Source organism: Homo sapiens, chromosome 5 (assembly GCF_000001405.40).
Source record: "Homo sapiens chromosome 5, GRCh38.p14 Primary Assembly".
NCBI lineage: Eukaryota > Metazoa > Chordata > Mammalia > Primates > Hominidae > Homo > Homo sapiens.
The window spans coordinates 23506587-23528783 of record NC_000005.10 but is presented as its reverse complement, the minus strand read 5'-3'; the positions used below and the strand labels follow the sequence as shown (position 1 = coordinate 23528783).

At 44.7% G+C, this 22197-nt stretch overlaps 1 protein-coding gene across 2 annotated transcripts, besides 1 other annotated feature; it reads right to left on the bottom strand.

Annotated features, from left to right (window-relative positions):
- Positions 1 to 690: 690 nt before the first annotated feature.
- Positions 691 to 21629, bottom strand: PRDM9 (PR/SET domain 9). Of its 2 annotated transcripts, none has more exons than NM_001376900.1 (11): positions 21457 to 21629; positions 19682 to 19834; positions 19191 to 19314; positions 18757 to 18864; positions 10854 to 10903; positions 7605 to 7761; positions 6379 to 6480; positions 5899 to 6170; positions 5426 to 5493; positions 4257 to 4450; positions 691 to 2551 (listed from the first exon to the last, which is right to left on the bottom strand). In NM_001376900.1, the coding sequence occupies exons 2-11, from the start codon at positions 19748 to 19750 to the stop codon at positions 1011 to 1013; spliced, it is 2685 nt and encodes an 894-aa protein (NP_001363829.1). In that variant the 5' UTR covers positions 19751 to 19834; positions 21457 to 21629; the 3' UTR covers positions 691 to 1010. The 2 variants fall into 2 exon arrangements, with proteins under 2 accessions (NP_001363829.1, NP_064612.2); NM_020227.4 differs by lacking the exon at positions 21457 to 21629 and adding an exon at positions 21072 to 21175.
- Positions 21621 to 22120: an enhancer, noted in NCBI's record as "H3K4me1 hESC enhancer chr5:23506773-23507272 (GRCh37/hg19 assembly coordinates)". NCBI's record gives its function as "activates a minimal SCP1, AML or CMV promoter by ChIP-STARR-seq in naive H9 embryonic stem cells {active_cell/tissue: H9 hESC(naive)}" and the evidence as "EXISTENCE:reporter gene assay evidence [ECO:0000049][PMID:30033119]".

The following is a 22197-nucleotide window of genomic DNA, read 5'->3' as shown; positions in this document are numbered from 1 at the left end:
TCTAAAAAAATCAAATCTTTAGCCAACTGGGATTAGTTTAGATTGTACGACCCGACCCCAGCCAGTGGAAAAAGGTACAGGGGCAGGACTTGTGTCAGGAATAAAGGCTCTCCTGCCTCTTTGTTCAGGTGTGCTCTCATGGCGACCGGCCAAGGAGGCACCCCTCTGCACAGAAGTAAAATTGCTTTGCTAAGAATCCTTCGTTCGAGTGTTCAGTTTCCTTAGGATTTTGAGCGTTGTTCCTAACACACCCTTGAAACCCCCCACACTCACACAGTTACCTACACGGAGGGCACATACCCCCACACCCGAACACATATATACACACACGCGTGTTCTTGTCTGGCTTTCACATCTTGGGCTACAGAGATTGGAGGAGATCAGGAGAGGAGACTGGGGAGCCAAGGGAGAGTATGGCAGCAGAGGAGAGGTGTCCATTAGGAGAAGAAGCCACACTTCCCAGGAGACCAGGGAACTCCCTTTCCTGCTGCGACTTTCTAGAATCTTACATTTCTCTTCCTGGACTTGGGAATCGATTCTCCAATAATTAAACCAGACGGACTCCAAGTTTATGTCTTTCTGGGGGTTGAATTCCTGTGGAGTCTTGAGCTGAACACATGAGTTCTCTGTGGCCCTTCTGGACTCTTCTTGCCTTCAGTGATAAGGGAAGAATGAGGTACACACTTGGGGTTCAGATTTGTATGGAGACAAAATTTATTAGAACAGGAGGCAAAAAAACAAACAAAAAATGGAGGGGATCAGTGCGGGAAAGAACCACACATGCTGATGTCCCCCGAACACTTACAGAACTATCCCTTGTTCTTCCTCATCTCTAGTCATGAAAGTGGCGGATTTGTTTAATCAGTTATTTCCGATCTCTTTATACTCTCGGGGAATATAAGGGGTCAGCAGACTTCCGCTGAAGCCACCTCACAGCTGGGGTGTGCAAGTGTGTGGTGACCACATTTGTCTTTTTGTGGCTATTGAGATGAGGTTTTATTACTAATGACTTACTCATCCTCCCTGCAGACGTAGGGCTTCTCCCCTGTGTGTGTCCTCTGGTGATAGCAGAGGCTTGACCTATCGCTAAAGCCCCGCCCACACTCCCTGCAGACGTAGGGCTTCTCCCCTGTGTGTGTCCTCTGGTGTCTGAGGAGGTGTGACTTATTGCGAAAGCCCCGCCCACACTCCCTGCAGACATAGGGCTTCTCCCCTGTGTGTGTCCTCTGGTGTCTGAGGAGGTGTGACTTATTGCTAAAGCCCCGCCCACACTCCCTGCAGACATAGGGCTTCTCCCCTGTGTGTGTCCTCTGGTGACTGAGGAGGTTTGACTTATCTCTAAAGCCCCGCCCACACTCCCTGCAGACATAGGGCTTCTCCCCTGTGTGTGTCCTCTGGTGTCTGAGGAGGTGTGACTTATCGCGAAAGCCCCGCCCACACTCCCTGCAGACATAGGGCTTCTCCCCTGTGTGTGTCCTCTGGTGTCTGAGGAGGTGTGACTTATTGCTAAAGCCCCGCCCACACTCCCTGCAGACATAGGGCTTCTCCCCTGTGTGTGTCCTCTGGTGAGTGAGGAGGACTGACTGCCAGCTAAAGCCCCGCCCACACTCCCTGCAGACATAGGGCTTCTCCCCTGTGTGTGTCCTCTGGTGAGTGAGGAGGACTGACTGCCAGCTAAAGCCCCGCCCACACTCCCTGCAGACATAGGGCTTCTCCCCTGTGTGTCTCCTCTGGTGAGTGAGGAGGACTGACTGCCGGCTAAAGCCCCGCCCACACTCCCTGCAGACATAGGGCTTCTCCCCTGTGTGTCTCCTCTGGTGAGTGAGGAGGACTGACTGCCGGCTAAAGCCCCGCCCACACTCCCTGCAGACATAGGGCTTCTCCCCTGTGTGTGTCCTCTGGTGAGTGAGGAGGACTGACTGCCAGCTAAAGCCCCGCCCACACTCCCTGCAGACATAGGGCTTCTCCCCTGTGTGTATCCTCTGGTGAATGAGGAGGTGTGACTTCCAGCTAAAGCCCCGCCCACACTCCCTGCAGACGTAGAGCTTCTCCCCTGTATGTGTCCTTTGGTGTGTAATAACATCTGATTTAACACTGAAACCTTGTCCACACTCTCCATACTTGACTTTTGCAATTCTTGAGATTCCTACCCCCACAAATAATTTGCCTGTGTTCCCTGGATTCACTTTCTGGCCTGTTCTGGACTCTTCTTCCATTATTCTTTTTCCCACTCTACAGCTCCCCATTTGTCCTTTGGGTGGGCTAGAAAAGGCCCTTGAAATCTCCCTCTGCCATGTCCTTTTATTCAAGAGTTTGGACCTTTCTTTGATCTCTTGACCTTTGGTTTTGTCATTACGGCTGTGTGGATCTGGATATTGCTGCTCCTGATTCTGATCCCCTGGGCAGGGATTCTCTGGTTGGAGGAGTTTTCTTGCAGATGGTCCTGGGAAGTTCTGAGAGGAGTGATTGCGTTCTACATGTTGACTGAGAAATTTCTGACTTGAAAAGGCCAGACAGCATGAGGGACATGGATGGATCTCTGGCTTTGGTTCTGAAAGAGGAAGTTTTTGGTCAGGGTAGATGTTTTGTTCAGGCCTTACCACATATGAAGGTATGAAGATCAAATGAAGAAACAATCATTCTTCATATGTTAACAATGCAAGCTCTTTCCCACCAAGTGCTGGATGGACCTTTACAGTCCATTTTTCCATTCCACTTTTATTCACTACATCTTAAAAAATCCAGAAATCCCACATCTTGGTCCTTTTCTACATATCTGCCAGACTAGGTAACCTCAACCAGCATCAGGGCAGTGTCATTCCTTACATAGATGGAACTGCAGTGACCTTTTCCCCACACTGCAGGTATTTTCCAAGTCCTATAAAGCCTTCCCTGATCACCCTCTGCCACATCCTCCCTCCCTGGTCCCTGGGCACTTTTGCTGACATGAGACCTTCAGCTATTTTATTCTATTGAGAAATAACACTCTTGATGACTTAGGTGAGATTGTCCTTAGTGATTTCCTAAGAGGGGAAAAGGATCTATTAAGAGCACTCAGGCTGGAGATCCACAAATGTGGTTAAAGAGAAGATGTGTGAGCAAATCTGAATTTGAGTCTCCTCATTCAAAAGGACATATTTAATTGAGGACTGTTATGTGCCTGGTTCTCCATCAGGAAGTGGGATTCAGGTTGGCCAACACAGAGTGGTCCAGGTCCCACTGACTAAAGGACTCTGGGTCCTGCTACCCCAACTAGGTGCATAGATTCCATTTCAGATTCCACAAATCATAAAATGAGAATATGTTCTCTCTCAGGCTGCCCATCAAGTATTCATTTTTGAGATATTTCATTCAGTCTGAGCCCATTTCAAATACAATAGGAAGTCTTGTGTCAAAATATATCCCTACTCAGACTTACCTCCGTGCTCCCCACCTTCATCCTGCCCACCATTCTCTCTCATCTGGAAACTGGAGCAGCTCTGAGGGGATGACCCACTGGAGACTGTTTTCCAAAAATGAACCAAAGCTGAATTCTTTCTGGCCGTAGGACCATTGCACTAGCTGCGCCCTGTGCCTGGAACCCTTGGCCCACAGGCACTTGCACTTCTCAAATGCTGTCTCCTAAGAGAAATCTTCCCTGACAATCCGCTGCAACACTCTACTCTCACCTCACACGGATCCCCAGGTATTCTTTCTGGATTCATTTACTTCAAAGCACTAATCACTGTCTGATATTACACATATGTCTGTATGTAATCATATGGTTCCCTAATTCACATGTCAAGAGCAGTTTTTCTGATTGTCTTGATCAATCTATATTTACACTTCCTGCAACATGGTCTGGCACTGAGTAGGAATTCACATGACAGCTAATTGAGGTAATTAATGAATGAATAACAACACATGCATATCATTAGGAAATATCAAGGAAATGCCAGAAGAAACTACCTTGTTGGGAGAGCTGGTAGGTGTTTGAGAACTTGATTTTTGTCTTTAAGTCTTTCAGCACTATATGCTGTTATATACTTTGTGCATGAAGTACTTAGAATATAAAATCAGAACAAAGATTTAAAAATATGAAAATTGTTCCAAAGAGGCAAAGGTATATAACATGAATGTTTAATTTTGGAAGCCACTGATTTGAAATCTTACTGACTTTAGATGGCATTTTACTGTACTTAAGAGTTAAACCATGAAAATTCTCTAGGATAATTCTTTCTTTCCTGTCCTTTTAAAAGAGTAATAGTGATGCCTACCTCTCCCTGCCATGAGCTCTTTCTTCCACTTGCTGCCCCACTTGATGCCCAGTTCCTGGCCGTATTCATCCCCATACCAGACCAGCAGTTCACAGCCTGGCCTAATGACTCGGCAGGTTCTATAGAAGATCTGCCTGTGGTACTGGAAGGCCACCAGGTTCTGCTCTTCATCATCCCGGGCACAGTTCACATACCTGGGGTCAAGGCAGGCAAAGGGAAAGAAAAGAGGCAGTGAGTTCCCAGTATCAGATCCAGGTATGGCCCATCACCTGCTGGTCTAGGCCTCCATGGTCTAGTGCTGACCACTCCCCCACCACTCCTCCGGGAACCTTCTGCTCATTCCTAAATCTCTTTCACAATGTCATATGAACTTGCACTTCTGACTACAGTGTTCATCCTGCCTAGAATGTTTCCCTGCCATGCCTAATCAACCATTTTTTCAAAGCCCAACTCCAGACTTACCTCCACCTTGACTGGCCATAAAACACATTGACTTCTAGCTTCTCTAAACTCTAAATTAATTCTGTTTTATACCACAGAACTTGGTGCTTGATCATGTACTCTGCTTCTAGATTAGTGCACATCATTCTACACTCAGCCCAAGTCCATCTTTCTTTGACAGACCTTCCTCTAATCACCCTACAGTTCATTCAGGTGCCATTCACCTGACTTCCCCAGATTCCCAGAGAAACTTAGAAGTCTCTTTCTCTTGGCCCAATAACATAGAACAGTAATAGTTGATTCATTTTTCTATTCTCTGATAGAACGAGAGCCCATTGTGGAAAGGGGCTGAGTCATCCTGCAGCTCACTTCTGTTCAAGTAGTGAACCTCACTTCCTAACCTGGAACATACAAAGTGCTTAATAAACGTGGATTACATAAATTAAAGCATGAATTCAGAGTCCCCCGTGAATCTAGGCTTCTCAAGGTTTATCTTGGTGCCTCAATTTTGTCTAGCATACATATTTATGTTTTGATACCAATAAATCATAATATCTATATTTTTATTTATTATTTCTAAATGTTGATGGTATAAAACAGCATTGTATGGAGAAAAATAGAAATAGGGAATGTGAAAATCATTGAGGGAGGCATAATGATAAGGAAGGAAATCCAGCTTTGTGAGAGATGAAGGTTCTCTCTGCAACTCAGAGAGCTACTGGCCTTACCTCATCCAGTTGGCCCAGGATTTATCTTTTCCATCCACATACTCATAGCAGTTTCTCCCCTTGGTGATCTGAGTTTCAGAAAAACAAGGCAAAGGCTTTTTAGAGGGTAAAAATCAGAAGAATTATTTTACTCCACTGTCGTCAATGGCCTTTGGGCCTGCATAGCTTCAGCTGCCAATTGAGACCACATGGTATGCACCTTAGTCATCATCTATCTACACATCTGAGTTGGTTTGTCCAATCAGAGCAGAAGCTCCACAGGGAGGATGCACTTCTTTGTCTTTGTACCACTCTGCTCCCATGTAACCTCTGATCTCTAAATAGGAGTTCCGTGTTCATGCAAAGAACCTTGAGTACACAGAGCTAACCATGTTATCCTTACCTATATACTAACATGTAGAAGATTATGCCCCACCAAAGGCACAGAAGGGATGTGGGAAGACAGAACAGGGGAAATGGCAGGCTCTTCTTACCAGCCAGGAGTATCCATTGTTGGCTGCCTCTTCGTCTTCTGTAATTCGGCCCTCATAAGGGCCAAAGTGCAGACCCAGCGGCAGATCAGATGCCTCATTCCATACTCCAAGCCCAGCCTGAGGGATGCCTGATGGCCCAATTCTCAGCCCTGGGGGCAGACTGAGGGCTGAACGGTTGGGGTGCCCCTTGTCCACTGCACTGTCCTTTACAAATGTAGGGGGCCCATGGGCAGCACAGCTGTCAATGAAGAAGTTCTGACACATCTCACAATCTGGAAGTGAGGGAAGCAGAGATTAGGAAAGTTGTAATGCATGTTCCTTGATATAAGAGCTTCAGAAAGAGCTTGGCATTCACATTATTTAGCCCTAATCCTGTACTCTAATTCATTAGAGTAAGGGAATGATTTGTGGGCCAAATGATGAAATTATTGCACCAGGACATAACAGCAAGCTGTGTGAGTGGCCAAAAGTGTCACTTACAGAGGTAATCATCATCCTGCGGCTCGCTGACCTCTTTGTATGCATGACCCTTTCTTTCTCGCAGGCTATACATCTTTCTTTCAGTCTCCTTCTTCCTGAGTTCTAGGTTGGAGAAGAGTAGACGGGTAAAATTGGGAATCTGGGGTGTTTGTCCTTGTTTCATAAGAAAATGTGAAATCTACCATCAAATTGGCATCTACCTTTCTACATACTCTAGTGTCCCCCTCTTTAACTACTGCTTCAGAGAGACTTAGACCCCACACCCACACTGACTGCAGATGCCTATTTAATATTAGTTTCTGGCTGTTCTCATTATACCATTAACCTCCCAACATTTCTACTTACAAAATGGTTCATTCATGCATTTATTCATTTGGAAGATATTTCTTGAGGTCACATTACATCTTAGGCATTGAACAAAGGCCTGGACATACAACACTAAGATAAAGTATGATCTCTATAGGGGATCTTCTACAAACTAGTAGACATGTGATGGAAGAGGAAATGTAGAAATGCACAAAAGAATATCTATTATCAGAGAGGTACTTATTGGACACCTTGCATGTATGGGTTCATTTATATTTAATTTAATGCTTTCAAACAATGTACTTGGTCTATATATACTTGGTCTCATTTTACAGATTACCATTCAGGAGCTCAGAGAATTTATAAGATTTGCCCAAGGCCCCAGTGCTTCTATGTAGATTATAACCCAAGTGAATGACTTCAAAGTTAATGTTCTTACATGCTATTCAATACTGTATCCAAGGCTGGACATGGTGGCTCAAGCCTGTAATCCCAGCATTTTGGGAGGCTGAAGTGAGCAGATCTCTTGAGGCCAGGAGTTTGAGACCAGCCTGGTCAACAAGGTGAAACCCTGTCTCTACTAAAAATACAAAAATCAGCCGGGCACAGTGGCGCACGCCTATAATCCCAGCTACTCGGGTGACTGAGGCAAGAAAACATCTATTTTCATGGAGGCAGAGGTTGCAGTGAACCGAGATTGCGCCACTGCACTCCAGCCTGGGCAACAGAGTGAGACTCTGTCTCAGTGAACAAATAAATAAATAATTTTAACAAAATACTGCATCTACCTTCTGGTCTCACAGTTGAGTCCAGCTTAAGCCCAGGCCTATGCAAAGTCCACCCCACATAGGTAGACCATACTCATCAACCTTTCTAGAGGACATAGAGGGACTAAAGTCCCCGCAAATATTTTTTCTTACCCAGTTTTAGTCTTGAGTGCTGTCCAGAGGTACTTGCTTCTCCAGAAGGGGACACTGGTTTCTGAGCCTGCTCTGAGCCACTTGCATTCAGTAAATTTGCTGTTCTTGACAATTCTTTCAAACTAGATTCATTACTGAATGACGCCTTGGGCATTCCCTTTAATGTGAGAGTCACATATTAAAAGACAACACGAATTTCTTTAGTTCTTTACGGCTTGCAACATGTTTTCATATGCATGACTCTAGTTAATGTTCAAACCTTGAAAATACCTAGAGTGTCTAAATACTAGAGGGAAAAGAGAAGGTCTAAGTGAGTAGTGAATCTGGGACTCTAACCCATGTCTTAAGGCTCTTTCCTTCAACTTTCTCTAAAATGTTCTATGTAAGTCAAAGGGAAGGAGGAGGAATACTTGGGAAGACTAGCTGGAGAATCAACAAGATCTGTGAAAGAAGGGGGTAAGGGCTTACAAAGAGAAGGAGGGAATCTTCCATAAACTAGTAGACTTTTGATAGAAGGGGAAATGTAGAGAAGCACAGAGGGACAAAGCACTTCTGGAAAATGAGGTAATAGAGCAGTAAGATTGGGAACAGAACAAAGAGACGATTGGCAAAAATATATCTAGACAACCAAGAAAATGATGTCAAAGTTGCATGTTGCCATATCCTGGAAAGAATATTTGGCTTTGGAATTAGATTAATTAGTTCCTGTACCACTTCTGCTTGTCTGCTTGAATAAGGGTGTATTGTTAGCTAATTCTCTTTAGTTTCCTGATCCAGAAATTGGCATACATGCTTTTTTTTTTTTTTTTTTTTTTGAGAAGGAGTCTCGCTCTGTTGCCTAGGCTGAAGTGCAGTGGCACGATATCAGCTCACTGCAGCCTCCACCTCCCAAGTTCAAGAGATTCTTCTACCTCAGCCTCCCGAGAAGCTAGGATTACAGGCATGTGCCACCATACCCAGCTAATTTTTGTATATTTATTAGAGACGGGGTTTCACTAGGTTGGCCAGGATGGTCTCGAACTCCTCACCTCAAGTGATCCACCCACCTCAACCTCCCAAAGTGCTGGGATTATAGGCATGAGCCCCCACACTCAGACCATCAGACCATGCTAATTCTTTTTTTTTTTTATTTTTTTGAGAGGGAGTCTCACTTTGTTGCCTAAGCTGGAGTGCAGTGGCACGATCTCAGCTCACTGCAGCCTTCACCTCCCGGGTTCAAGCGATTCTCCTGCTTCAGGCTCCTGAGTAGTTGGGATTACAGGTGTCCACCACCATGCCCAGCTGATTTTTGTAGTTTTAGTAGAGATGGGGTTTCACCATGTTGGCCAGGCTGGTCTCGAACTCCTGACTTCGGGTGATCTGCCCACCTCCACCTCTCAAAGTGCTGGGATTACAGGTGTAAGCCACTGCCCCTGGCGCTAATTCTTAATATTGTAGTGAACATGAAAGATAATAATGTTCACCAAAGTGTTTTTTGAACTACTTAATACAGTATGAATGTGAGATTAATAATTTTTCTCACCAGGTGCAGTGGCTCACACCTGTAATCCCAGCACTTTGGGAGGCCAAGGCAGGCGGATCACCTCAGGTCAGGAGTTTTGAGACCAGTCTAGCCAACCCCATATCTACAAAAAATACAAAAAACTAGCCAGGTGTGGTGGCGGGTGCCTGTAATCCCAGCTACTTGGGAGGCTGAGGCAGGAGAACAACTTGAACCCAGGAGGGGGAGGTTAAAGTGAGCCGAGATCACTCCACTGCACTCCAGCCTGGGTGACAAGAGTGAAACTCTGTCTCAACAAAAGAAAAGAATTTTTCTCACAGACTGGGTGCAATGGCTCACATATGTAATCCCAGCACTTTGGGAGGCCAAGGTGGGAGGATGGCTTGAGCCCAGTAGTTCAAGACCAGCCTGAGCTACATGGCAAAACCCTGTCTCTACAAAAAACGTAAAAATCAGCTGGGCATGGTGGTGCATGCCTATGGTCCCAGCTACTCAGGAGGCTGAGGCAGGAGGATCGCACTAATCTAGGAGATGGAGGCTGCAGTAAGCCGAGATTGAGTCATTGCACTCCAGCCTGGGCGAAAGAGCCAGACTCTGTCTCAAATCACCCCACCACCACCCAGAAAAATAACAAACAAATGAAAATTATCTCATAGTCCTGATAACATCTCTACAGTTGAAATCTAACTCAAAGATATTTTCAGCATTCCTTGACCCTGTTACTTATAGTTTAATTCATAAACTTGGAATCAGTCATTCAGAAAACACTAAGGAGGCTCTCAGAGGCCCTGATCTGGGCTTGGGAGTTCTGAGAAGAATCAGATATGGACCAGACTCCTGAAGAGCTCACAATGAAGAGGCAGCAGGCAGGCTAAACAAATAATTCCAAACAACATGACAGTTCCCTAATTGGAGCCCAGAGGAAGGAGCTGTTACTGCCTTCTGTAGGAATGAGAATTTGAAATCAGTTCCAGAAGAATATATTTTTACTTAATAGGATGTAACCTATATGAAGTCTTAAACCATTTTCTTATTTGTTGTTTCTCAGTCTTCAAAGCTGAAACTCCTCAGGGCTGGAAGCTGCTTCCTCTGATCAGAATGGGTCCCTTATGAGGGTAGGGACCCTATCTCCTTCTGGGACCAAACACAGTATGAACTGTCTATTTACTTGGAAGCTTCCCTTAATCAGAGTGTTTCAGTGCAAATCTCACTTTACCATAACAGAGAAAAACTGAGGTTAAAAAGTCAGTTGGACGAATGATGTAACACATATGGGTAAGACAGCATAAACTTTATAAAACTATGAAACTTTTAATGATCTTGTGTTAATGATCTTGTAAGTGCTTTAGAGAAGGAGTTTTGGATTAGACTGCACCAACACTGAATGTGATCCCAGGGATATAACTGAACATTTTTATACCTCAGTTTTCTCATCTGTAAAATGGCTATAGTTACAACATCTACTTAATAGGTACTATATATAAAGTTGAATAGGAACTATATGTAAAGTTTATTCATGTAAAATGCTTAAAATAGAGTCTGAAAATACTGAGAAAATAACACCATGGTAGCAATTATTGTTGCTGTTCTTATTAACTCTTAAAATAATGATGATGTCAGACACTGTGCTAAAGAGATCAGGAAAAGAAGGCATTAGTTCCTATGATAGTCTGTACATTCTCCTCCTCTTACCTGTGTTTGGATCCATGAGGAAGGTTTCTTGTCAATAGGATTTGGGAAATACTTACCTTCTGGTGTTTACGCTGTTCCACTCTTAAGGCCATCCAAGGAGGTTTGACTAAAAGGTGATGAGAAATCAGTGGTTTGGTTGGTAAATGTTTCCAAACACTAGAGATTCTCTCTTCTATTTTTTATTTTTATTTTTTATTTTTGAGACGGAGTCTCCCTCTGTCGCCCAGGCTGGAGTGCAGTGGCTCAATCTCCACTCACTGCAACCTCCCTCTCCCGGATTCAAGCGATTCTCCTGCCTCAGCCTTGTGAGTTGTTGGGAACTACAGGTGTACGCCACCACACCCGGCTAATTTTTGTATTTTTAGTAGAGATAGGGTTTCTCCATGTTGGCGATGCTGGTCTCAAACTCCTGACCTCAGGTGATCCACCTGCGTCTGCCTCCCAAAGTGCTGAGATTACAGGCGTGAGCCACCATGCCGGGCCTAACTCTGGAGTTTCTCATTAGAGACAGAGAATTCTGAATCAGAGAGTGATGATTCCAAGTATTATCCAAAGGCGATTTGGAAATGTTTTCTGAAGTATCATTAAGGCCTATGTTTCTATTAAAGGCATTGCTAATTTTCTTAAGACTTAAAAAAATAGATAAAACTTCATCTTTGTTTCATCCTGTCTATTAAAGTATACCTAATAAGGTATCTAGTACATTAATTTTTAAAATGTAAATTGACCTTTCACGACAAACACACTGAACAAACTAGGAATAGAAGGAAATCACTTTAACATAAAAAGATCATAAAAGAAAAGCCCCCCCAACCTTTTTTTTTTTTTTTTTTTGAGATGGAGTCTCGCTCTGTCGCCCAGGCTGGAGTGCAGTGGTACAATCTTGGCTCACTGCAAGCTCCGCCTCGTGGGTTCATGCCATTCTCCTGCCTCAGCCTCCTGAGTAGCTGGGACTACAGGCGCCCACCACCACGCCCAGCTAATTTTTTAAATTTTTAAATTTTTTATTTTTAGTAGAGACAGGGTTTCACCATGTTAGCCAGGATGGTCTTGATCTCCTGACCTCGTGATCTGCCCATCTTGGCCTCCCAAAGTGCTAGGATTACAGGTGTGGTGGCGGGCGCCTGTAGTCCCAGCTAATCAGGAGGCTGAGGCAGGAGAATCGCTTCAATCTGGGAGGCAGAGGTTGCAGTGAACCGAGATCGTGCCACTGCACTCCAGCCTGGGCGACAGAGCGAGACCCCATCTTAAAAAAAAAAAAAGAAAACTATAAAGATTTTTACCAAAAAATTGTTAGAAGTAATACATGAATTCGGGCCGAGCATGGTGGCTCACGCCTGTAATCTCAGCACTTTGGGAGGTTGAGGTGCGCAGATCACGAGGTCAGGAGATCGAGACCATCCTGGCTAACACGGTGAAACCCTGTCTCTACTAAAAATACAAACAATTATCCAGGCATGGTGGCGGGCGCCTGTAGTCCCAGCTACTCGAGAGGCTGAGGCAGGAGAATGGCGTGAACCAGGGAAGTGGAGCTTGCAGTGAGCCGATATCACGCCACTGCACTCCAGCCTGGGCAACAGAGCCAGACTCCATCTAAAAAAATAATAATAATACATGAATTCACCATACAAAATCAACACCCCAAATCAGTTGTGTTTCTATTTAGTAACAATGAGCAATCCACAAAGGAAATTAAGAAAAATATCCCAACCACAATAGCATCAAAAAGAATAGAATAATTACAAATAAACTTAACCAAGGAGGCAAAAAACTTGAACACTAAAAACTACAAAACGGTGCCGACAGAAATTTAAGGAGACACAAATAAATGGAAGGACATCCTGTGTTCATGGATTTGAAGACTTAATATTGTTAACATGTTCATACTATCAAAATGATCTATAGATTCAATGCCATCTCTATCAAAATGCCAATGCCATTATTTTCAGAAAAGGAAAAATATCCAAAAATTCATATAGAATCTCTAAGGACTCAGAATAGCTGAACCAATCTTGAAAAAGAAGAATAAAGTTAAAGGCCTCATAGTTCCTGATTTCAAAGCATATTACAAAGCTACAGCGATCAGAAAAGTGTGGTACTGGTATAAAGACAGACATATAGACCAATGGAACAGAATAGAGAGGCCAGAAATAAACCCTTGTGTATGCGGTCAAATGATCTTCAGCAAGGATGCCAAGACTACACAATGGAGGAAAGGACAGTCTGCAAGAAATGGTGTTGGGAAAATTGGATATACATATGCAAAAGAGAAGACAGACTCTTACCACATATCTCATATAAAAATTAACTCAAAATAGATTAAAGACTGAAATGTAAAACCTATAAGTACAGAACCTCAAGAAGAAAACACAGAGGAAAAGCTTATGACATTGAAATGAACAATAACTTCTTGTATATGACACCAAAAGCATAAGCAATAAAAGCAAAAATAGACAAATAAGACTACATCAAACTTAAAAACTTCTGTGTAGCAAAGAAAACATTCAACAGAGTGGCAAGGCATCCTACAGAGTGGAAGAAAATATATGCAAACCATATATTTGATAAAGGGTTAATGTTGCTGAGTGCAGTGGCACATGACTATAGTTCAGCTATTCAGAGGCTCAGGTGGGAGGATAACTTGAACCTAGGAGTTCGAGACCAGCCAGAGCAACATAGTGAGACCTCTGACTCAAAAAAAGAAGATAAAGAGTTAAATCCAGGCCAGGCGCTGTGGCTCATGCCTGTAATCCCAGCACTTTGGGTGGCCGAGGCAGATGGATCACTTGAGGTCAGGAGTTCATGACCAGCCTGGCCAACATGGTGAAACCCTGTCTCTACTAAAAATACAAAAAATTAGCTGGGCGTGGTGGTATGTGCCTGTAATCCCAGCTACTCGGGAGGCTGAGGCAGAATAATCGGTGGAACCCGGGAGGTGTAGGTTGCAGTGAGCTGAGATCGCTCCATTGCACTCCAGCCTGGGCAACAGGAGCGAAACTCTGTCTCAAAAAAAAAAAAAAGAGTTAATATTCAGAATATATGAAGAACTCCTATAATACAACAACAACAAAACAAATAATTAAATAATGAGTGGTATGGACTGAATTTTGTTTCCCCCAAATTCATATGCTGAAGCATATTTAATACCTCAATATGATGGTATTTAAAGATGGAGCCACTGGTAGGTAATTAGGGATAGGTGATGTCATGAGGGTGGGACCCTTAGGATGGCATTAGTGCTTTTGGCCTGGCGCAGTGGCTCATGCCTATAATCCCAGCACTTTGGGAGGCCGAGGAGGTGGGCAGATAATTTGAGGCCAGGAGTTTGAGACCAGCCTGGTCAACATGGTAAAACCCCATCTCTACTGAAAATACAAAAATTAGCTGGTGTGCCCCTGTAGTCCCAGCTACGTGGGGGGCTGAGGCAGGAGAATTGCTTGAACCCAGGAGGTGGAGTTTGCAGTGAGCTGAGATCGCACCACTGAACTCCAGCCTGGGGCAACAGAGTGAGGCTGTCTAAAAAAAAAAAATCTTCTAGTAGATATTATTGCTTTAATAAGAAGAGGAAGAAATTCCTTCTCCTTCCTGATGTGGGAACACAAATAATTCACGTAAATACACAGTGAGATGGAGGTTGCCCACAAGTCAGGAAGAGACCCCTCACCAGAACCCAACCATGCTGGCACTCTGATTTTTTACTTCCAGGCTTCAGAAATGTCAGAAAATAAATTTCTGTTGTTTAAGCCACCCAGTGTGTGGTATTTTCTTGTGGCAGCCTGGGCTGACTAATACAATGGGCAAAAAACTTGAATAGACATTTCTCAAAAGAAGATACATAAATGGCTAAGAAGCATATAAAAATATGCTTAACATCACTAATCATCAGGGAAATGAAAATTAAAACCACAGCGAGATGTCACTTATCCTGTTATGATAGCCTCTGTCAAAAAAACAGAAAATAGCAAGTGTTGGCGAAGATGCGGAGAAATTTAGAACACTTGCTTATTGTTGGTAGGTGGCTTAGTCTGTTTTCTGCTGCTTTCCTAGAATGTAACAGAGTGGGTAATTTATGTGTGTGTGTGGGTTTTTTTGTTTTTGTTTTTGTTTTGACACGGCGTCTCGTTCTGTTGCCCAGGCTGCAGTACAGTGGTGTGATCTCGGCTCACTGAAACCTCTGCCTCCCGGGTTCAAGTGATTCTTCTACTTCAGCCTACCGAGTAGCTGGGATTATAGGTGCACGCCACTATGCCCGGCTAATTTTGTATTTTTAGTAGAGATGGGGTTTCACCAAGCTGGCCAGGCTGGTCTCAAACTCCTGACCTCATGATCCACCTGCCTCGGCCTACCAAAGTGCTAGGATTACAGGCATGAGCCACCATGCCTGGCCCAGAGTGGGTAATTTATAAGGAGAAGAATTATTTGGCTTGTGGTTCTGGAGGCTGGGAAGTTGAAGAGCATGGCCCTGGCATCTTGCAAGGGGCTTCAAACCGCATCATGACATGGTGGAAGCGTAAGTGTGCATGTGAGACAGAGAGAAAGACAGGGAAGGGCCCAACTCATCCTTTTCATCAGGAACCCACTCCTGCAATAACTAACCCACTCCTGTGATAGTGGCGTTAATCCATTCATGAGGTTGGAGCTATCATTACCTAATTCACCTCTTAAAGGCTCCACCTCTTAATACTGTTACAATGGCAATTAAGTTTCCAATACATGAACTTCCACACATTCAAACCATAGTAGTGGGAATGTAAAATGGTGCAGACACTGTAAAATACAGTATAGCACTTCCACAAAAAATTAAAACCAGAACTACCTTATGATCCAGAAATTCCACTTCTGGGTATACAATATATTAAAAAGAATTAAAAACAGGATCTCAAAGAGATATTTGCACACTGATAGTTATTACAGCATTACTCACAATAGACAAGAGGTGAAGCAACCTAATATCCATTGACAAATGAATGGATTTTTAAAATGTGGTATATACATGGAGTGGAATATTATTCAGCCTTAAAAAAGAAGAAAATCTTGTCACATGCTATGACATGGGTGAATCTTGGGGACATTATGCTAAGTGATTAAATAAGCCAGTGACAAAAAGACAAATATTTCATGGCTGATTCCATGTATATGAGGTATCTAAAGTAATCAAATTTATAGAAACAGAATTGCAGTTGCCAGGAGCTGCAGGGAGGAGGAAATGGGGTGTTATTGTTCAATGGGTATAGGGTTTTAGTCATGCAAGATAAAAAGTTCTAGGGATCTATTTCACCACTATGTGCATATAATTAATAAAGTTGTACACTTAAAAATTGTTAGAAGAGTAAATATATGTTATATGATTTCTTACCACAGTAAAAAATAAATTAACTTAAATTAGGGATTTTAACTGAGTTCAGATAAAGATGTATAGATGTGTGGTAAACCATGGGAGATAGATTCCCGCTAAAGAGCCATTCTTTTCATGTCAAAACATTGGCAGAAAAGCAAACACTGGCCTTTCATACCTCTTACAGTATTTTTAGGTCCTAAGGAATCTAAAATCCATAGATGGGGAAATCGTAGACCCAATCCAAGTTGCTTTCTCTAGTTTGGGTAGATTGACTCTTTTTACTTCTAAACTCTCCTAACCAAGCAGTAGAAGAGGAAATGAGCTTCACACTTCTATTTTATAATTATGATACATTATTTTATTTACCTGATGCTGTCTCTGGTCAGTGACATATGGGAAAGATCAGGGAAACTAAACAGCTCTCTCAAACCCGCTCCAGAATCGAGACAAAGAAGTAGATTCATTTTGGTATAAGAGGATCATATAGTATGATTAAATGTACATAAATGATATATCTTTACTTAATATTATTTCTTCTTCTAAGAAATTTAAATCAATATTATGAGATTGGTATTAGAAAGCTTTTTCGTGGATTTACAGTTTAATTAAGTTTGCTTTCATTGTTCTATGATGTATTAACAATGTTTAGCAAACACAATTTAAAAAAAAAAAAAGAATGACAAATTTTAAACATATAGAAAACAATGGAGAATGGTACTGGAAAACCTATACATCCATCACCATTCAGTCCAATGTCAACATTCTGTCACAATTGTTTCAGATCTTTTTATGTGTATTTCAAAATTTAAAAACAAAAATAAAAACATACAAAAAAACTAACCAAGCCACAGTGAAGCCACCTGCCAGCCCTTCCTTCTTTTGTTGTGATGATAAATGTTCTGAATTTGGCACTCTTATTCACATTTAGATTTTATACATTTACCACTTATTATTGTATCTATAAATACTATATATATTTTACAAGTTTTAAAACTTTATATGAGGCCAGGTGTGGTGGCTCATGTCTGTAATTCCAGCACTTTGGGAGACCAAGGCGGGTGGACTGAGGTGGGTAAGGAGTTCAAGACCAGCCTGGCTAATATGGCAAAACCCCATCTCCACCAAAAATACAAAAATTAGCTTGGCGTGGTGGCACATGCCTGTAGTCCCAGCTATTCAGGAGACTGAGACAGGAAAATCGCTTGAACTTGGGAGGTGGAGGTTGCAGTGAGCTGATATTGTGCCACTGCACTCCAGCCTGGGCAACAGAATGAGACTCTATCTCAAAAACAAAAACAAAAACAAAAACAACAAACAAACAAACAAACGTTATATGAATAACCTCTTACTGTATATACTGTCTTGCATTTTGCTTGTTTGTTGAACATTTATGCTTTTGAGGGAAGATTCTTTTTCCTTTGTTAAATTCTGAAATGTAGCTGAGACCTAAACCCAGGCTGGTTTCAGGAGGTCACTATTTTTCCCGCCCTGAGACGGAGTCTTCTCATTCTGTTGCCCAGGCTGGAGGGTGGTGGCACAATTTAGGCACACTGCCACCTCTGCCTCATGGGTTCAAGCTATTCCCCAGCCTCAGCCTCCTGAGTAGCTGGGGTTATAGGCACCCACCACCACACCCGGCTAATTTTTTTTTTTTTTTTAATTTTTAGTGGAGACGGAGTTTCACCATGTTGGCCAGGCTTGTCTCAAACTCCAGACCTCAAGTGATACGACCACCTTGGCCTCCCAAAGTGCTGGGATTACAGGTGTGAGCCACTGTGCCTGGCCAGGAGGTCACTTCTAAATCTTCCTGGGGGCTATGCACGGTGCCTCATGCCTGTAATCCTAGCACTTTGGGAAGCTGAGGTGGGAGGATCGCTTAAGCCCAGGAGTTTGAGGCTGCAGTGAGTTATGATTGCACCACTGCACTCCAGCCTGGGTGACAGAGTGAGACCTTGTCTGTAATAATAGTAACAATCACCATCATCATCATCATCATCATCATCATCATCATCATCATCATCCCAGCACTTTGGGAGGCCAAGGCAGGCGGATCACTTGAGGCCAGGAATTTGAGACCAGCCTGGCCAACATGGTGAAACCCCATCTCTACAAAAAATACAAAAATTAGCTTGGCATGGTGGTGCACATCTGTAGTCCCAGCTACTCGAGAAGCTGAGGTGGGAGAATTGTTTAACCCGGAAGGCAGAGGCTGCAGTGAGCCAAGATTGCACCATCCAGCCTGGATGACAGAGGGAGACCCTGTCTCAAAAAAATAAAAAATAAAAATAGGCCAGGCGTGGTGGCTCATGGCTGTAATCCCAGCACCTTGGAAGGCCAAGATGGGTAGATCACCTGAGGTCGGGAGTTCGAGACCAGCTTGACCAACACGGAGAAACCCCATCTCTACTAAAAAAAATTTACAAAAAATTAGCTGGGCGTAGTGGTGGATGCTTGTAATCCCAGTTACTTGGGAGGCTGAGGCAGGAGAATCGCTTGAACCTGGGAGGTGGAGATTGCAGTGAGCCAAGATCATGCCATTGCACCCCAGCCTGGGTGAAAAGAGCAAAACTCCATCTCAAAAAAAAAAAAAAAAAAAAAATCCTACTTCCCTTCCCTCTTACCTTGCTGCCTAGGGGTCCATTCTTCATCAGAATCTTCTGTGTCATCCACCTGGAGTTTGATGGCCTGCCTTCGGTGACACATGAAAGCTGGTCGAGTGGCTCTGAGACCTGAAAAGAAGCAAAAATTTTGTTCTAAAATGGAAGAGCTGGGAGAAGGAACAAAGGGCAGTGGCAATGGAAAGCACCACAAAGCCAGTGCTGCTCAGTCTGATGAGCTGGGAGAGTCTTGAACAAGGTCAAGATGTGACCTCTGCATGGTCAATATCCACACTCAGCCCTGCACTGACGCAAAAGAACAAAATTTCCCTCCAGATTTGTCTACATGAAAAAGGGAATTGTGGGCAGATGCCACCACCTGAGAACTAAAATAATATAGGGACCAAAGACCTGTTTTATGTCTCCCAGGCTGGTCTGTGCCCAGCACTTCCTGTTACCTATAGTAATCAGTGCATTATAGTTCCTTTTCACATTCCTATAGCGAGTTTTCTCCCAGTCTCCCATCTCTGCCCATTCTTCCTTGGTGAAGTATATGGAAATGTCTTTGAAGGCATCTTTGACCTAGAGGAAGTAACAGATTCCATCAGTGATTTACTAGTACACATCAAGCTGGTCCTTTTCCTCTACCCTGTGTGTAGGACATAGCCTGGGGCCTCTGGGAGTCTCTGTGAAACATAAAGATCTTCCCTCCTTCTCCAGACTGTGTCCCATTTAACTGAGCAGACCCTGAGCATTTTCCTAGCTCTCTGCTGACACAGAGCAGTCGCTGATGCTAGTGTTCTTTTCTCCCCCATGTCCTGGCCAGGACCAGCTGCCCCCATTCCATGCACATTCAGATAGGGTCCCCCAAGGGTACAGGCCAGGAGTCTGCAGCACTCCAGAGATCAGCTCCTGCTAGGAGTCCAGCTTCGCTTCCTCCACTTCTCACCATGGGCTTCCGCTCTGTTCTCTCTGTGTCTTCTTCTGGGCTCTCCTCTTGGGACTTTTCAGGGCTCATGGTGCTGGGACTGTCTAGAAGGCCCTGCTCCAATTCTGAGTGTGAGAAGGGCCCTGAGTCTCCCAGCTCCTAGGCCAAAGGCTCCTGTGGAAGGAGAAGGTGCTGAGAGGGGGCAACAGCCCTGAGCACTACCCAGAACCAGGCTCTGTCTTCTCCATCTGGCTGGGTGTTCAGAGCAGGAAGATGTGGATTCCTGGTGAGGTCTCGAGCACCCCAGGGAGATTTGAGGGTACTGATGGGATGGGAAGGCCTCCACTGGCCATGAGCTACCACCTAATGTAAGCTGGATTTTGTTCTTTTAGTTCCCCTGCAGCTAGGCTCATTTGGAGAAGGGTGGCACAGGTGCCTGGAGGGTTGTAGCTACCGGTGTTTGAGGGGAGTCCTGAGGTGTGAGAGCCAGAGGAGTCCCAAGGAGACCTTGAGGCCCCCCGACTGCTGAGACTTGGGTCAGACTGAGGGGCAGAGTTCTGTTTCAGCGAGACAAAATGAACATTTCGCATAGACAGGATTTGGGGACCTCTACCTGAGGATTCTAGAAAAATCCAGGAGTAAAGCAGTCTGCATCTCTAAGGGGAAGCTATTTCTCAGGTTGAGATTTGGGGTCCCTCAGGCTGAGGGGATTTGAGATGTCTTAGACTGAAGAAATTGGGGTTTTTCAGGTTGAGGAAATTTGGGGTATCTCGAGCTGAGGAGCTTTGGTATCCCTCAGGCTGATAGTATCTGTGGTTTTTTCAGGATGAGATTTGGGGTCTTTTAAGCTGAAGAGATTTGGAGTGCTCAAGCTGACAGGATTTGAGATTCATCAGGTTAAGGGGATTTGGGGTTCCTCAGGATGAAAGGATTTGAGATCTTTGAGGCTGAGGAAATTCTGGGTCTCAGGTAAAGGAGATTTGGATCTCTCATTAAGGGGTTTTAGGGTCTTTGACACTGAGGTTATTTGGTCCTTGAAGCTGAAGGGATTGAGTTTTCAGGCTATTTAGGTTATCTGAGGTTGGGGAAATTTGGTCTGTCTGTGGGTGAGATATTTAGGGTTCCTCAGGCTGAGGGATTTGGGTTGCCTTAGGGTGAGGGGAATTGCGGCTTCTCAGGCTCAGAATATTTGGTGCTCTAAGCATTAGGAGATTCGCTGTTCCTCTGGGTGAAGGGATTTGGAGTCTCTGAAGCTGAGGTACTTTGGGGGTTTCATGCTGAGGGGATTTTAAATCCCTCAAGGTGGCAGGATTTGGGGTCTCTTGAGGCTGAGAGGATTTGGAGCTTCCCAGGGTGAGGGGATCTGGGGTCTCCCAAGCTAAAATTTGAAGGTCTCGGGATGAGGGTTTACAAGGGTTTCACGCTGCACGACAAAGGCTCCCCATGCTCTTCACAATCTCCCGTGCTCTCCTGCCGCGGCGTTCACCCTGGCCGGGCGTTCTCTCAGAGTCCCTCAGGAGGTGAGATGTGGTGGAGGGCGAAGTGCCAGGCTGTACAGCTGCCAGCCAATCAGCACGGAGACCAAGGCGAGCCCGCCATTCAGCAGTCAGGAGGCGCTAAATGGGCGGGGAGTAGGGCGGAGCCTTGCCTGTCAGTCACGGGCACAACCCGGTTTGGGGCTCAGGAGGTGGGGGAGGGGCCTGGCTCTTCCCGCCCCTGAGGAAGGTCCCTCCCCTCCCAGAGGGGATTGCGTGTAACCCTCCGGCGCGCAGGCGCAGTTTCGAGGGTTTTATTACTTGGTTTTCCCCAACTCCGGTGTTTGCGACTGAGTCGGGCGTCGGGGCTGCTCCTCACGTCCCTCCGCAGGCCTGGGTCTTCCAAGGGGACACTGTGTCTTTTTGAATTGCCAGAGTTCTTGCACTGATTCTCATCTGGGAGGGTTGGTGTTCCTTTAACTGTGGTGTAAGTTGGGTATTGTCAGCTGGCTTCGTTTCTGGATGCTTCAGAGGGCCAGGGTTCTGTACAGGACCCTTACGTGTGGGTGAATTGTGCTTGGTTTCACAGATGTTGTATTAGCTGGCCAATTTTGGTGTTGTAGTTAGGGCCGTGATCCAATAGATGGTGCTTAAGAGGCACGGCTGCTATCTCCGGTAGCAAGGCTCTTTTGTACTTTGCGTTCGCAGGCGTGCTTTGCGGTGAGACGGGAGAGCAATAGCCCTTTACCAGCTCCTAGGTCTTGGGGGAGCCTCCTGTAATCACTGGTGGCTGCCTGCGTTGCTTTTGTTAGGTGTTCTGGGCTGCGGGGCTCCCTCGGGCAGAGGCTGCATAGGTCGCCCCTTTTCTGGACTGGCCCTCTGGAGGGAGGCATGCCTCGCTCCCTCGCTGCCCAGTGTCCCAAATGTCTCACCTCTCTCAGTGCTCTGAGAGTGGGGGCTCCTCCCCCGTTCAAGTGCTAGCCACAGATCTCCCCCCCGCCCCCGGTATCCCTAGCTACGTGCCACAGCCCTGGGGACACCAAGAAGTATGGCTTGAGGTTG